Source organism: Homo sapiens, chromosome 17, assembly GCF_000001405.40.
Source record: "Homo sapiens chromosome 17, GRCh38.p14 Primary Assembly".
In the NCBI taxonomy this organism is placed as follows: Eukaryota; Metazoa; Chordata; class Mammalia; order Primates; family Hominidae; genus Homo; species Homo sapiens.
Genome location: NC_000017.11, coordinates 68,822,591 through 68,839,575, shown reverse-complemented (window position 1 = coordinate 68,839,575; position 16,985 = coordinate 68,822,591). Strand labels below are relative to the sequence as shown.

At 40.1% G+C, this 16,985-nt stretch overlaps 1 long non-coding RNA gene across 1 annotated transcript in view; it reads right to left on the bottom strand.

Annotated features, from left to right (window-relative positions):
• The window catches only part of LOC105371874 (uncharacterized), a 56,293-nt gene extending 39,592 nt beyond the window's left edge, over window positions 1-16,701 (bottom strand). The window contains exon 1 of the long non-coding RNA XR_001752986.3: window positions 16,587-16,701. This is a non-coding gene — a long non-coding RNA (uncharacterized LOC105371874). The remainder of the gene's footprint in view (window positions 1-16,586) is intronic.
• Between the last annotated feature and the right edge of the window lie 284 nt (window positions 16,702-16,985).

The window sequence follows — 16,985 nt, the reverse complement described above, 5'->3', positions numbered from 1 at the left end:
GGAGTATGGTGGTGCAATCTCGACTCACTGCAACCTCCACCTCCCAGGTTCAAGTGATTCTCCTGCCTCAGCCTCCCGAGTAGCTGGGACTACAGGCATGTGCCACCATGCCCAGATAATTTTTTGTATTTTTAGTAGAGATGAGGTTTCACCATGTTAGCCAGGATGGTCTCAATCTCCTGACCTCATGATCCACCTGCCTCGGCCTCCCAGAGTGCTGGGATAACAGGCGTGAGCCACCACGCCTGGCCCACAGGTGAGTCTTGATGAGATGTGAGGAAGCAAGCAAGAGAGAAAGGCCCAGGGCTGCTGAAGCTGCTTCATAAACAGCAACCCTGAGGTCCTCGACAGGGCTTGTCGTTTTTGTGTCTCAGGACAATGTTGTAAATTGTTTGGAGGAGACACTAGAGTGAGCAGACAACACAGTCATAGCTCTTGAAGAATGAGGGACTCAGGAGAGATACAGCAAGAGAAGGCCTACAAAAAATCGATAAAAAGAAGCACTGAAAATGACCTTATACAGGATCAATTCTCATTCGACTATATTGTTGCCATAATTATTATGTTAGTTATCTTTAGAATGTTGTTCTAGAACCAGGCTGCTTTTCATAAGAGTGATACAATTAAAAGATGGACTTCATTTGTCCAACAAATATATTCAGCAATGTAATGGGATTCTGATTAGGAAAGGGAGCAACAAAGATACCATGTGGGTACCGGTCAGAGCGTGGCCAGTGCTGAACATGACCAGCGTGGCGAGAGTGTTAAAAGTCCACGCAACAATGTTTTCTTAGTTCTATACGTGCCTTTACCCACTATTTAATTAACACATTTATAAAAAGTACTTCCCAAAGCGTGGATTGAATTCTCCAATTCACTATTTCTATCACGTACAAAAGAAAGGAAGGAAGGAGAGAGGGAAGAAGGGCTCTGAACTCCTGTTTTCCTTAGTGTTATCATGATTGTCTTGTATATTTCACTGAGACTTACAGGTCCCCAGCTACACAAAACTATCTTTTTAAAAAAATGTCACCTCAACAATTCGTCAGGAGTTATTGCTTTTTTGAGATTCTCAAGAAAGTTTTGCGTTATTTTTTCAATTCCTAGCTCTCAATGGACAATTATTATCAATGCATTTCTTGTCAATACTCATGCCCTCTCTCATTTATATAAACACAGCATTTGATACTTGTAGATACCTTGGTGGCTATTATTACCACACTCCTTCCTTTAGAATTTTTGAAATAGTTCATTAGAAGTTTTAATTTTAATTAATTTTAATGCTTTAATTCTAGTTAACACACACACATACATATATTTATAGTACTGTTGATATTTTGGAGTGCCACGTGTGTTCCTTGGGGTTTCATTTCAATCCTGTCACTCATACCCATCTATCATCTAAATAAACCCTGTGGAAAGGCCGCTCCAGGTCTGGCCTCCTCACCATAGATACACAGAACTCTGTCCAGGACAAACTCCCCCCTTCCAAGGCTGGGCAGCCCTCATCTGCTCTCTATATCGCTCTCTCTTGTCTTTGTCTTTTTTTTTTTTTTTGACACTATCTACTGTATCATCATTGTATCCTATAGAGCTGACCCAATGGCTAACACCTAGAAGGTTCAGTAAGTGGTTTCTGGAATGAATAAATGGATGAATGGAGTATAGCATGATGACTCTCACTTGGATTTATCTGAATTACAAGGAGGCTGAGAGATGTTAAATGGGAATATATGGCTCTGAACTCCCAGCAAGAAATAGACGAAGCAGAACTGTTTTTGTGTGCTTAAAGCAAAGAATAACAGAGAAGAGGACGTGGCCAGCTCTCCACTCCTGCCCTGGCACACGGAGGGCTCCTGGGAACACAGAGCGGCTTGGGGACTCGACAGTCCCCTGTGTTACTGAACATCTCACCCCAAGGGGATTATGTGCCAACCTCAGAAAATGGGGGAGTCTGGATGAACTCTGAGAAGTAGAGGGGGACCCAAATAAAGAGAATGGAGTGAACAAAAACATAGAGTTGCCATCATTATATCTTCACTGAGAAAATGCTGAATACTGAATTCATGATTAAATGAACTAAACATTTTAAAATCAAGAAAAGGTTGCAGATGCTCCACAGGCAACTTATGGACGATCTTGAAGGAGCATGTTCCAGGATGAGAGTGAAATTTTCCTTAGGTTTTAAGGCTATAACCAACAATTCATAAAATGATATAATCCTCTGGGAAGCAATACTACAGCAAATAGCATTTTATTAATGCACTTATTCATTCCTATATTAAGTAATTCATTCATTAGCTTCATTAGCATTCATTAGCTTATCTTTCATGATATAGAAAAATCTAGCAAGGATCAAAGGTTAAGTACTGATGGCGTTCAATGAACACAAGTTTTAGAGTGATCGTGACCTGAATGCCATACATTTGATGCTCTTAATTGAGAAGCTAAAGAGAAAGTTGGTGTCAAAAGAGGACCTATGCACACCCAGAAGAGACTCCTACTGTTTATGTGATGTATTTGTCACACATGGGTAGTTCTAGAGTCACTCTGGATAGGACAATGTAGATATCCATAGAAATCAACAGGGTCACAGTTGACAATGAAGAAAATTAGAGAAAAGAGAACAGAAGCCTCTAGCAGCTCATGGCAGTTTCTGAGACATCAAAATAGAAAATATGAGACCTGCCCCTCGAACATTCTGGGGTCGTCTGGGGCACACTCCACACCCATTCCTGGATCCCATCTTCCCAGCCACGAGCTCCGTCGTAAGATACAGAACTAAAGCAGAATTGCAAGTGTCAGATAAGATGGCAGCTTGGCATCAGGGCCTGTCTTCCTCTCTTAAAGCCAAACCTAGAGATGTTACAGATTTGACATGCATTTCAATAATCCCAGTACTGATGCATACACCAAAATAGAAAGAAAAAAAAAGAAACACACCTTTGAGAAACTCTTGAAGCAGCAGAAGGTGGCTAGGGGGTTGGTTTTGGAGGAGGTAAGAGGAATGCACACTCAAGCAGCACACAGCCATGTGTAATGGGAAGACAGCTATGGAAAGAGGACAGGTTAGAAAGGAAAGCTCATGTTAGACTGCAAGGAATGTTCCAGGTATACTGCTTTCTCTCTCCTGCAAAATACATGGGACAGTAAAAACTGCAGGGCCCCTGGAATAGGCAGTGGCAGAGAAACATCAAGGCTGCACTGCAGCCTGATTTAGGAAGAGATGGGCAGGCCAGTCCCAGAGCCTTCTCTACCCTCTACCCTCCCATACCTCTGCAAAGAGCATAGGCTAGGGCCTGAGCTTTTCCCCTCCTCCCAACCCCCCCAGATACTCCCTACAAGTCATGACACTGTGAGATCAGAGGGAAAAGTAGAAATATTCTGCAGAGTGCAAGATTTAGAAATGAATGACAACTGTACAGTCATCCCAGAGAAATAAGAATAGATTAAACAATAAAAATTATAATAGGCAAAGAGAAAATAAGACATATTAGAAATATAAAATAGAAAAAGAGCCAATTAGAGAGTTGATGTAATAAAAGATTGAATAGTTAAAGAACCCCACACAGGGGCTGGATGACTGAACGGGTTCTGCTGAGAAACGAACTGGGAAGCCCGTTAGTCCAATCAGGGAACTCACCCACAAAGCCCCAGAAAATAATAAACAGATAAGAATAAATTTTTAAAAATTTGAGAGGCTTGGAAGATTAAAAGAGGAGTGTCCAAATAATAGAATAGGCCCTCTTAGGCAGGACAAAATAAAAGGAAGGGAGGGAATATTTGAAGACATATTAACTGACATTTCTAGAACTAAAGATGGAAGATTCAAAATTAAAGTGCATAAAGCACTAAGCAGGAGAGATATGAAAAATGAAATCACATTTAATCACCCTGTCACGAAACGTCAGATCATCAGATACATAAAGAAAACTGAAACACATTGTTAGAAGACAAGCAGAACCAGGAAAGTACGAAGACCATATTATTAAAGGTCTTTCAACAGGATTATTAGATATGAGATGATAATAGGTAATACTGTGGTTGTGTGGAAGAAAAAAAGAAACTCTGAAGCTAGAATTTTATACCAATAAACTATCATTTGAATGACACTGAAATAAAAATATTCTTAGCATCCAAGACCTTTCAAAGTTTACCAAACAAATACTTTGTTGGAACATTCTTGGAGGAAGCATTAAACCACTAGAGAAAAATAATGCCAGAGGAAGCAAAATGATACAGGAAGTGAGAGTAAGTGGATAACTCAGTACAGTTTATTTTTGTTTAAGTAACCGGTAACACCCCATCCCAGCACACCAATAAATTTATTTATAACATTCCAGAGCTAAACTCAAGATATCAACAAGGAGGGAGCAGGAGGAGAGAACAGACAGAGGTAGAAGAGTCGGTCCAGGAATTTAACCATTTTAGGACAAAACATAGAAATTCTAACCTTAATTGATAGTACAAAATAAATATATGCATGAGTCATATTGAGTTAATGCTCATCAACAATGGAAACAAAAGAGAAGAAACCCTAGAGTAGGTCAGGCTCAGTGGCTCACACTTGTAATCCCAGTACTTTGGGAGGCCAAGGCGGGTAGATCACTTGAGCCCATGAGTTTCAGACCAGCCTGGCCAACACAGTAAGACCCCCATCTCTACAAAAAATACAAAAAAATTAGCTGGGCATGATGGCGTGCACCTGTAGTCCCAGCTACTTGGGAGGCTGAGGTGGGAAGATCGCTTGAACCTGGGAGGTGGAGGTTGCAGTGAGCCAAGATTGCACCACTACACTCCAGCATGGGTGACAGAGCAAGACCAGGTAGAAAGAAAGGAAAGAAAGAAGGAAGGAAGGAAGGAAGGAAGGAAGGAAGGAAGGAAGGAAGGAAGGAAGGAAGGAAATTAGATAAATATACCTCTAGAAAGGAAAGAAAGAAAGAGAGAGAGAGAGAGATGGAGGGAGGGAGGGAGGAAGGAAGGAAGGAAGGAAGGATAAATTAGATAAATATACCTCTAGAAAAATTATCCGAAATGCCAAAATTGACCCACACAAAAAACAGTAATAATAATTAAATCCTTTACACTCAAAAAGCCTCAGACACAGATAGTTTTGCTGATAAGTGCTACAAAATTTATAAGAGCAGATAAAGTTATCCTTGTTTTATACATATTAAGTTTACATATCCTTAATTCTTTTTTTAAATTCATTTATTTATTTATTTATTATTTTTGATCATACTTTAAGTTCTAGGGTACATGTGCACAGCGTGCAGGTTAGAAAATGTGGCACATGTACATATGCTTAATTCTAAATTATGGCTTGTCATTAGGAAAAGAGAAACGGACATCTAAGTCCAAAGAATAAAATAGAAGAAAGAGTAGAAAGTTCAGAATCTGGAAAACTAGAGAAGAAAAGACAAACAGTTTGAAGAATAGAGCAGGGCCAATGGTTCAGTGAAAAGGGGCCTCTTTTATATGATGGAAGTGCCTGGCTCAATGGTGGAACAAAGTGTAGGAAGACCATGTGGGCTTGAGTACAGTCTCCTTCTTTGGCCACTTCCCCAGTTGCTACCATTCTCTTCCACCTCAGCTGGGCACATAGAGCTAGAAATTCTCCTGGATTCCATGACTGAAAGCAGTTGCCAGGTGCATGAGAAGTAGGCAGAGTTTAGCATTAATATCTCTCCAGCTTCCAGCAAACCAGGACTTAGAACTGTTGGTTTTATGGAGAACCCAGGACTCCTTGCGTGCTATTCTGTATCCTCTTGACCCCAGTCATCTGAGAGAGCCAAGAAGTGAAAAGGTCATAAGGAAGGATCCAAGCAGTCCAGATACACTAAGAAAAGGGCAGCAAATGGAACCAGAAGAACCTGGAAATGGAAAACAATGGGCTCCTTATGTTAGGTTTGCAGTGTTGATGATATGGCCCTTTCCATATATTATTTCATTTAATATTCTCGACAACCTTGTGAGTCACTATTATTACCTCCATTTTACAGATCAGGAAGACAAGGCATAGGAGGTTAGGTAACTTGCCTGAGTTCACAGAGCTGGGTAGTGGCAGAAAAAAAGACTGGAAGCCAAGAATTCTGACTTTTAACCATACCACTGCCAAGGTGGTGAATGAATGCTAGACTTAAATCAGCACCAGGATGATCCCGTCTGCCAACTGGGAACTTTCACCATTGGAAGGTTTGGTGGCCTAGTTGCCTTGACTACAGGAGATATGGGTAATGTGTAATTTCCTATAATACAATTCAAATTGGGATCATAAAAATAATAACTAACATTGATTTAGCATTACTGTCAGGAATAGTTCCAAGTGCTTATAATGTATTATTTAATTTATTACAATTCTACCAGATAAGTAGAATGTTCTCATTTTTCAAATGAGAAAACTCATGCACAGAGAGATTAATCTACTTGCTCTTGTCCTTACAGTTTGTAAATGATAGAACCAGTTTCACACCCTGATGGTCTCACTCTGGATGTTTAAATACCACACCATGCCTTTCCTGAGTGTGGGGTGTGTGTGAGAGTGTGCGTGGAGAGAGGAGTGGAAAAGGGGACCGTGTCCTATTTTTCAGTGGACAGAAAACAACTTCCTATGCAAAGCCCCATTAAGAGTAATTTAGTTTCTCCAAATAGAGGACCTTGAGGGGCCTTGAAACCAAGGCAAGAATTAGGGTTCTCAGTTAATCTAGATAACTCATAGGGACTATAAAGTCACAATGTTTTCTGCTTTGGAGTCAAGCACATCAGCTTGGACTTTGCATGCCCCACCATGCTGACCTAGCGGGAAGATGTGACCAGACATCTGGCTGCAAACACAGGGTTACTCCTCATCCAGGCCCCCAATTCCTCAAGGAGAGGAGCCAACTCTTCCTGGAACACAGACTAGAGCAGCAGACTGGAGTCTGCATCAGCAAACGAGATGAGGAAGCAGGGCAGCTGACCCAATAGGGGAAGCAAGTCTCAGGGTCAGTATTTTTGATCTGGGACAAAACAGGGTTAAGGAAAGCAAGAAAAAAAAAATACTTATATACATAGCTTAGTGGATGTCCCAAAAGAATGTGCTGACTGCACTTGCAGGATGGCTCATCTCTCAAACCTCATCAGGAATAATTAAAAAGAAAATATTCCAAATCTTTTATTCTTTTCTGAGAATTAATGAGTTGCAAATCTCTGAAATGTCTTAACTGCAGAAGAAAATGCAGAATCTATGCTGAGACAGCAGAATACAAAACCCTGGAGAAAAACCCTCCAGGAACATTATTACATTTTACAATTTAGTGGCATAGTTGTCTCATTTACTTATCACTCAACACATATTTATTGAATTTTTACTATGAGCCCAGTCATTGTTCTTGGCCCTAGAGATACAGCAGACAAAAATAGCTCTCCTCATAGGAGACACAGTGAAGGAAAACAGAAAATGTAATATAATAATAAACAAGTAAAGCATGCAGAACATCATGAATGAAAAGTGCTATAGAGAAAATGATACAAGAATGAGGAATTAGGAGTGTAGAGGAGGGATGGGATACAATACTCAATTGGGAGTTGGAGAAGACCTCACAGTTGACCATTTGAGCAAAGACCTGAAGAAGAGGATGGGGATGGAATAAGCCATATAAATACGTTGGATAATAAGAATCCCGGTTGAAGGAATGGCCAATGGCAAGGTCTGGAGGGAGGAGCCCACCTGACGTGCCTGAGCAGGCCAGTGGAGTTGGAATGGAGTGAGTGAGCAGAACAGTCCAGAATGACTTTAGAAAAGTAGGGACCAACCACGTATGGGATTGTGGAAATTTTAAGGAGTTTGTCTTTTACTTTTTGAGAGACAGAGAAAAAAAATCGGTGCTGGAGGGTTCTTCTCTTCTCTGGTGTGTTTTTAAAGAATTCATTAGGCTGCGGTATCAGGAACAACCCATAAGAGATAGTATTGGAGACCAAATTTTGGAAATTGAAGGTAGAGCCAACAGCATTGGCTGGTAGCTAAAGAATGACTCCAAATTAACTTTCATGGGGAAGACTACGGAAGAAGAAAATTAGGGAGGGGGAATGTAACAGTCCGTTTTCACGCTGCTGATAAAGACATACCTGAGACTGGGTGATTTATAAATAAAAAGAAGTTAAGGGACTCACAGTTCTGTGTGGCAGAGGAAGCCTCAAAATCATGGCGGAAGGCCAAAGGCACGTCTTACACGGTGGCAGACAAGGGAGAATGAGAACCAAGCAAAAGCAGAAACCCCTTATAAAAACATAAGATCTCATGAGACTGATTCACTATCACAAGAACAGTATGGGGAAAATCGCCCCCATGATTCAATTATCCCTCACTGGGTCCTTCCAAAACACATGGGAATTATGGGGGCTACAATTCAAGATGAGAGTTGGGAGAGGATGGAGCCAAACCATATCAGGGAGCAGGTTAGAAGTTTGGTTTAGGACAAGTTAAGTTTAAGATGTCTGCTAGACATCTCACTAGGGACGTTATGGAGAGAGTTTGTTATATGAATTGAGTGCTCACCAAAAGATCCCACTATAGAAAAAAAAAATCTCTGGGTGCTGTCAACCTATTGGTGGTAGTTCAACCTATTGGTGGTAGTTAAGCCATGGAAATGGATGAGATCCCCAGGAGAAAGAATGTAGCTTTCTGAGGACTGGTTGGAGCATTCAGGGGTGAGGAAAAGCCTGCAAAAGAAATTTAAAAGGGATGATCAGGGAGGGAAGGAGGAAAACTGGGAGAGTCAGGCACCCTCAACAGGCAGTTATTAGAGCAGGCTATATCAAACGTATCCAAGAGGTAAACAATCATAAGGAAACAGACTCCTAAGCCCTCAATTTCCTATGCATGCTTTGCTAAAATCACTAGATTTGAGGATGTTTCAATGATGAACGTGCAGATTCTTGCTTCCCAATGCTTCTTTTGTAACAACTCTTCTCCCACCTAATAAACTGCAGTCACTCCTCACCCCCTTATGAATCTTACCATTAGCATGGCTCTGGGTATAAAAACATCTGGAATGACACACAGTGAGATTACTAAAATGACAGTGTCCCTGTTGAGAAGGTGAATGATGCTAACAATTAGAAAACCATCGAGTCAAATGGTTTCTAATTTTCTCTTTCAGCCAAATTATAAGATAAACTAGTTGAATTGCCAGCTGATGCATCAGTTAAAAGAATTTTTAGTAATAGAATGCTTTGTGACTTTTGCCAAATATCTTGGGAGAAACATAAATAATTTAGTAACAGTACAATAACATTCTATTCCTATTTACTTATTTGTGTAAGTTAGTTTTCTCGATATTTAGGTATATATAAATGAAAAAAAGGAACAGATATTGTTCTAAGAGTTATCTTATTCCAGCAATTAGCAATATTCATTCATAAATAAGTGAACTAAAAGAAAAATAAACTTCAATTCACCTCATTAAGATACACATTTCCAATAAAATTTAATTTTAATGTTTAATATTTACATATTAACATTTATATGATATGCATGTTTTTGAGAAATTGTGAATAATAATTATAATGATAACCCAATACTGCAGAACGTTGGATCACATAGTCTTTTGGTAAAAGAAAATTTAAAATTAAATTTGTATCTTACTTTTTTTAAATGGAAAGATATCTTGGTGATATCCTTTGGGGGCTCACATAGAAGTAACTTTTATGTTTTTTTGCAGAACTGAGGATTTGAAAAGAACCAACCAAAATCTCAACGGTACAGGAATGCTCCTCCCCAAGAATGCTGTTATCTGCAAAGACTTTCAGTGCTCTTTACTTTTCAATTACCTTGCCATAAGGATCTTATCACACCTCTCTCCACGTTCTCTTCCAGCCAAATTATAACAGAAACTAGGTGAATAGCCAGGTGATACATCAATTAAAATAATTTTTGATAATAGAATGCTTGATGACTTTTGTCAAATATCTTGGGAGACAAGCAAATACATCTATTTTTGCTCAAATAAGAGGATTGTTTAGATCTCCAATAATTTAGAGCACGTTATTGATATAGTGCATTGCCATACATACCCTGGGGTCACAAGATTTTCCAGAGTATATGTGAGCATAAGAAGCTTTAAAGAACTCAACTTCCAGATACACAAACTCCTTTTGACCACTTTCCTTAAAAAGATGCTTGAGAAGGCATTTGTGGACTTCCAGTTCTTCTTTTCCACTTCCGTTTTTGCATTTTTTCTGGTTTACAAAAGAAAGGCATTCCTGGTACTGATTCTGAATCTTACTGTGGAACATTACTCCGAAAAATAATTAAAAAAAAAAAAAAAAGCAAGCGCTTTTGATCATTCCTGAGTGTGTGTTTTCTAAAAACAAACACTTTGTAAGAAAGGGTAAAAGGAAATACCCAAAGCTATCCCTAAGTAAAAAGAACAAAACTGGAGGAATCTCATTACCTGACTTCAAATTATACTACAGAGCTATAATAACCAAACCAGCAGGGGACTGGCATAAAAACAGACACGTAACAATGGAACTGAATAGAGAACCCAGAAACAAATCCACACACCTACAGTGAACTCATTTCCCACGAAGTTGCCAAGAATGTACACTGGGGAAAAGACTGTCTCTTCAATAAATGGTACTGGGAAAACTGGATATCTGTATGCAAAGCAATGAGACCAGACCCCCATCTCTCACCATATACAAAAATCAAATCAAAATGGATTAAAGACTTAAGTCTAGAACCGCAAACTATAAAACTACTACAAGAAAATCTTGGGGAAATTCTCTAGGACATTGGCTGGGCAAAGATTTCTTGGCAACACCCCACAAGCACAGGCAACCAAAGCAAACATGGACAAATGGGATCATATCAAGTTAAAAAGCTTCTGCACAGCAAAGCAAACAATCAACAAAGTGAAAGAGAGCCCACAGAATGGGAGAAAATATTTGCAAACTACCCCTCCGACAAGATATTAATAGCCAGAATATATAAGGAGCTCAAACAACTCTATAGGAAAAAATCTAATAATCCCATCCAAAAAATGGGCAAAAGATTTGGATAGACATTTCTTGAAAGAAGACATACAAATGGCAAACAGGCATATGAAAAGATGCTCAACATCACTGATCATCAGAGAAATGCAAACCAGAGCTACGATGAGCTATCATCTCATTCCAGTTAAAATGACTTATATCCAAAAGACAAGCTTTGTACATTTTTGGTAGAAATGTAAATTAGTACAACTATGGAGAACAGTTTTGAGGTTCCTCAAAAAACTAAGAATTGAGCTACCATATAACCCAGCAATCCTACTGCTGGGTATATACCGAAAACAAAGGAAATCAGTATATTGAAGAGACATCTGCACACCTTATTTGTTGCAGCACTGTTTACAATAGCTAAGATTTGGAAGCAACTTAAATGTCTGTGAACAGAGGAATGGATAAAGAAAATGTGGTACATATACACAATGGAGTTCTATTCCGCCATTAAAAAAAAAAAGAAAGAAAGAAAGAATGAGATCCAGTCATATGTAACAACATAGATGGAACTGGAGATCATTATGTTAAGTGAAATGAGCCAGGCACAAAAACATAAACATTGCATGTTCTCACTTACTTGTGGGATCTAAAAATAAAAACAATTGAACTCATGGACATAGAGGGTAGAAAGGTGGTTACAGGCTGAGCGGGGTTGCTCAGGCCTGTAATCCCAGGACGTTGGGAGGCCGAGGCGGGCAGATCACGAGGTCAAGAACTCGAGACCATCCTGGCCAATATGGTAAAACCCCGTCTCTACTAAAAATACAAAAATTGGCCGGGCCCAGTGGCTCACGCCTGTAATCCCGGCACTTTGGGAGGCCGAGGCGGGCGGATCACGAGATCAGGAGATCGAGACCATCCTGGCTAACACGGTGAAACCCCGTCTCTACTAAAAAATACAGAAAATTAGCCGGGCGTGGTGGCAGGCGCCTGTAGTCCCAGCTACTCAGGAGGCTGAGGCAGGAGAATGGCGTGAACCCGGGAGGCGGAGATTGCAGTTAGCCAAGATTGCGCCTCTGCACTCTAGCCTGGCAGCAAAGCGAGACTTCGTCCAAAAAAAAAAAAGGTTGTTACCAGCCTGGGAAGAGTAGTGGAGGGATATAGGGGGAGATGGGGATAGTTAATGGGTACAAAAATAATAAAACAAAAGAATAAATCCTACTCTTTGATAGCATAATAGGGCGACTATAGTCAATGATAACTGAATTGCATATTTTAAAATAAAGAATGTAACTGGATTGTTTGTAACACAAAGGATAAATGCATGAGGGGATAGATACCCCATTCTCCATGATGTGCTTATTTCACATTGCATGCCTGTATCAAAATATCTCATGTACCCTGTATTAGTTCGTTTTTATGCTGCTGATAAAGACATACCCGAGACTGGGCAATTTACAAAAGAAACAGGTTTATTGGACTTACAGTTCCACATGGGGAGGCCTCACAATCATGGAGGAAGCCAAGGAGGAGCAAGTCACATCTTATGTGGATGGCAGCTGGCAAAGAGAGCTTGTGCAGAGAAACTCCCGTTTTTAAAACCATCAGATCTCGTGAGACCCATTCACCATCATGAGACCAGCACAGGAAAGCCCCGCCCCCGTGATTCAATCATCTCCCATCGGATCCCTCTCACAACACGTAGGAGTTATGGGAGATACAAGATGAGATTTGGGTGGGGACACAGAGACAAACTATATACCCCATAAATATATATACCTACTATGTACTCACAAAAACTTCAAAAGATAATTTAAAAAAAATAAGTAAAATTAAAGGCATTGTGATGAATGCCAAAAAAAAAAAAAAAAAAAGAGTAAAAGGGAAAAAGACAGCACCTTAGTATATCCAGGGAACGAATTCATGAGAAGGTTTTGTGCTATGGCTATACATCTGTCTGTCTTTCCATGCATTAGAATTTGGAGGTGAGAAGTTTGTGACAGAGATGTGTATTAAAATGTTTATCTTAATTAAAATGAAGCCAGTTTTTTTTTCTGACAGAAAAAATATGCTTCCCTGCATGGTTGATTTTTACTGTGAAGACTGGTTTTGCCAGTTAGATTATATGGCAGATATTTTTCCATACATTAGATATGTATAAATATGCAACTCTAAGATTCTGAGGGAAACACACACGCACAAACACACACACACACACACACACAGTGCTGAAATTCAGGTAGTATACGAATATACAAAGATTTAAACTTAAGAAGAAAATTTTCGATGTCAACTTAAAAATGTATGAAAGGTCGTGAAGGCAGCAGAATAATGATTATTGCAGGTGTGATCTACTGATGAATGCTGAAATTAGTGGCCAAAGACTTAAGAAGAAACAGTATATTTGTATAACATCCAAGAAACTCCCCATAGTCTGAATTAACTACAGTGGATTAAATTCCTTGAGACTCCTCCCTTCAAGAGAGGAAGTCTAATTCCTTCTTCCTGGGTGAGGGTAGGATTTAATAACTTGCTCCTAATGAATAGAGTGTGAACAGGAGAAAGTGCTGCCTTTATAGTGGAGAAATCTGGCAGAAACGCCTTAACCAAGTGACCAGGGTTAATATCACCAGTAATAAGTCATGCTAACATTGTATACACTCTTTACACACATTGTGTATGCTGGAATCAGAAACACTATTTTCCTCTATGGTAGAACTTTTCCCCAAACTCCATAACACCAGCCCAATCATAAGAAAATTTTGGATTAACCCAAATTGAGGGGTATCTTATAAAATACCTGAGTAGCATTCTTCAAAAGTGTCAAAGTCATGAAAAACAAGGAGACTGAGAAACTGTCACACATTGGAAGAGACTAAGGAGGCATGATGACTAAATGCAAAATTGTAGGTCCTAGATTAAATCCTGGGACAGAAAAAAGGACATCAGTGAAAAAAACTGGTGAAATCAGAATAAAGTGCAGTTTTGTACCAATGTGAATTTTTTAGTTTTGACAAATGGACGATGGTTATATAATATGTTCACGTGAGGGGAAGCTGGGGAAAATGTTCATCAGTATTCTCAGTACTATCTTGGCCACTCTTCTTTGAGTGCGAAATAATTTCAAATTTAGAAGTGTTTTAAAAAATACTATAACCCGTCGGGCACAGTGGCTCATGCTGGTAATCCCAGCACTTTGGGAGGCCAAGGTGGGAGGATCATGAGGTCAGGACATCGAGACCATTCTGGCCAACATGGTGAAACCCCGTCTCTACTAAAAATACAAAAATTAGCTGGGCATGGTGGCACATGCTTGTAATCCCAGCTACTCAGGAGGCCAAGGCAAGAGAATCACTTGAACCAGGGAGTCAGAGATTGCAGTGAGCCGAGATCACACCACTGCACTCCAGCCTGGCAACAGAGCAAGACTCCGTCTCAAAAAAAAAAAAATAAAATACTATGACCAATTAAATGACAGCAAAATGAATGTGTGAGAGGGCATATAGTTTTCCAAAATGTAATGAGTATGAAAGGAATAATAGTTGAACCTCCCTGTCCTGGAAACAAAAGTAAAGAGTCAGTGTTTCGTTATGTCAAATGCTAGTGATAGAGCAAGTGAGGTGATGAAAATGGATTAACTGATCCGCTGAAAATGGATGAATGGATTGAGCAATAATAGAAAGGTCATCAGTAACCTTAACAAGAGCAATGTTGATGGATTGCAGTGCGGAATCCTGGAAGTGAGATCAAAAGAGCATGGGAACAGAAGATAGGAAAACAATACAGACAGCTATTTCAATGATTCTTTTCTGTAAAGGGGCACAGAGAAAAGGCATTGGTGCTGGAAGGGATTTGCATGTTCAAGAAAGAGTTTTATTTAAAGTGAGAGAAATTACAGCATGTTTGACTGTATGATAATAAGAATGGTCTAGCCTGGCATGGTGGCTAACACCTGTAATCCCAGCACTTTGGGAGGCTGAGGCAGGCAGATCATGAGGTCAGGAGTTGACCAACATGGTGAAACCCCGTCTCTACTAAAAATACAAAAATTAGCCAGGCATGGTGGCACACGCCTATAATCCCAGATAGGAGGCTGAGGCAGGAGAATCACTTGAACCTGGGAGGCAGAGGTTGCAGTGAGCCGAGATCACACCACTGTACTCCAGCCTGGGCAACAGAGTGAGACCCCGTCTCAACAAAAAAAAACAACAACAAAAACAACAACAACAACAACAACAACAAAAAGAATGGTCTAGAAGAAAGAAGACTGGAATGATGAAGCAGAAGAGAAGGGAGGCTTACATAACATCTTGCGGTAATGAAAGGGGATGGAATCTGGTATAGGATCCAGATCCAGTAAGTGAGTAGATGTGTGGATGGGAGATGACAGAATTCTCTTCTGCTAGCTTTTTTTTTTCTCAGTGAAGTGAAAAAAGGAGAATAAGAAGGGGGAAAGTGCTATAAATTTGGAGGAAGAGGATAAGGAGAGTGAAAATATTAATACAATTGAAGGTGGTAGGATTTCTGGGCAGCACTAAGGTCCAGCTTGGGATTAGTGATTATGAATTTAAAGTGAGAATTTCAACATGTTCCATGATTCTCTAGAGTCATGTTCTGGTGCATAAAGCAGGTGTGCAGAAGGCAGAGTTAGAAGAAAGACAAGGATATCAAGGGTATATGCAAGGACTGATATAATGCTGAAACCATTTAAGCTGGGCAAGGAATGAAGTGATGACATGCAAATGGAGAGAAATCGTGAAACGTTAGTCACATAAATAGATTGTAGGTCAAGTAATTAATAGAAAGCAGGATATTATCAGGATAGGAGGCAGTGGTTAGAGGTTGGAATGAGGGAGGGATTGCAAGTATTGGTGCTGACCAAGTGTCCTGTCCAGGAGTGTGCTGGTAAACCTGCGTTCTCTTTCATTTCTAGCTGGAAGAAGGATCAGAGGCACATTACGTTCACTTAAAGTCTGTCCCCAGGGCTGCATTAATTGCCCTACCCTCTGTCATCCCATAGTACAAGGGAATGAGACCAGTTGGACATTCCACAGAACATCACATTAATCCACCAAATCAGCACCATCATGGTGATCCATACACACGAGCAAGAGGTAGCAAATAGATTGGAGGCTTTGGTAAGAAATATGCACCCCAAAGGGTGGGAGATAAACCCTGTAAAACTCAAGGATCACCATATTTTTTCAGGGACCTAGAGATCTGGATTTTACTGGGACTTGGTCTTCTCAGTATTTTTAAACATCATGTTTAAATCTTTATTTACTAAAAAGAAAGCCCAGTGCTTGGTAATTGTCTTCAAGATCTGGAAGCAGTATATTCCTCACTTAGGAATATGGCTGCAACTCATATGTCATTGCAGTTACACATTTGGAAATCAGGGAAATGACCTCCAGGTACCTACAGGGCCCCAGTGGACCCAGTTTAAGACAGACCTGAGTCAGAACTTCAGTTATTACCTGATCCTCACACATACACCTACTCTAACAGGAGCAGGGGGCATCATGGCTCTTGGGGTTTCCAAGTACCAGCATCAAATCAGGCTCTGTGTTGAAAAGCCCTCAAAAGATCTGGGTCTTCCCCTTTCCTTAATATGTGGTTACCTGAGTAATTTCTGGAGGTCCCTTTAAGGAAGGTCGGAGGGAGAATTACCGTACACACTGTGGTAGAGTCTTTCTTCATGGGGCTCTGGACTCTCTGTCTGTAGATGCTGTAACTGAGAAATGACTTCGGTCTGGAAACTGGGCAAGATCAGGAGACTTCCTGTTGGGTCAGCTTCTTGTTTTCTGCTTGTCTGTTCTTGATTTCTTAGGGTATGTATATTAATAATATTGTCACTGAGTTCCCATCTTTCCCATTCTTATGGACATCATGTTCTATTAGCCATCACCGTAAATCCCTGTGGATCAGGTTCCCCTGACTGTCATCCCAAGTTGCTTTGCATTATGCTAATTATGCCCTTCTAATTTCCATTGGTTAAGTGCTGTCTGTTGGCCTCTGCT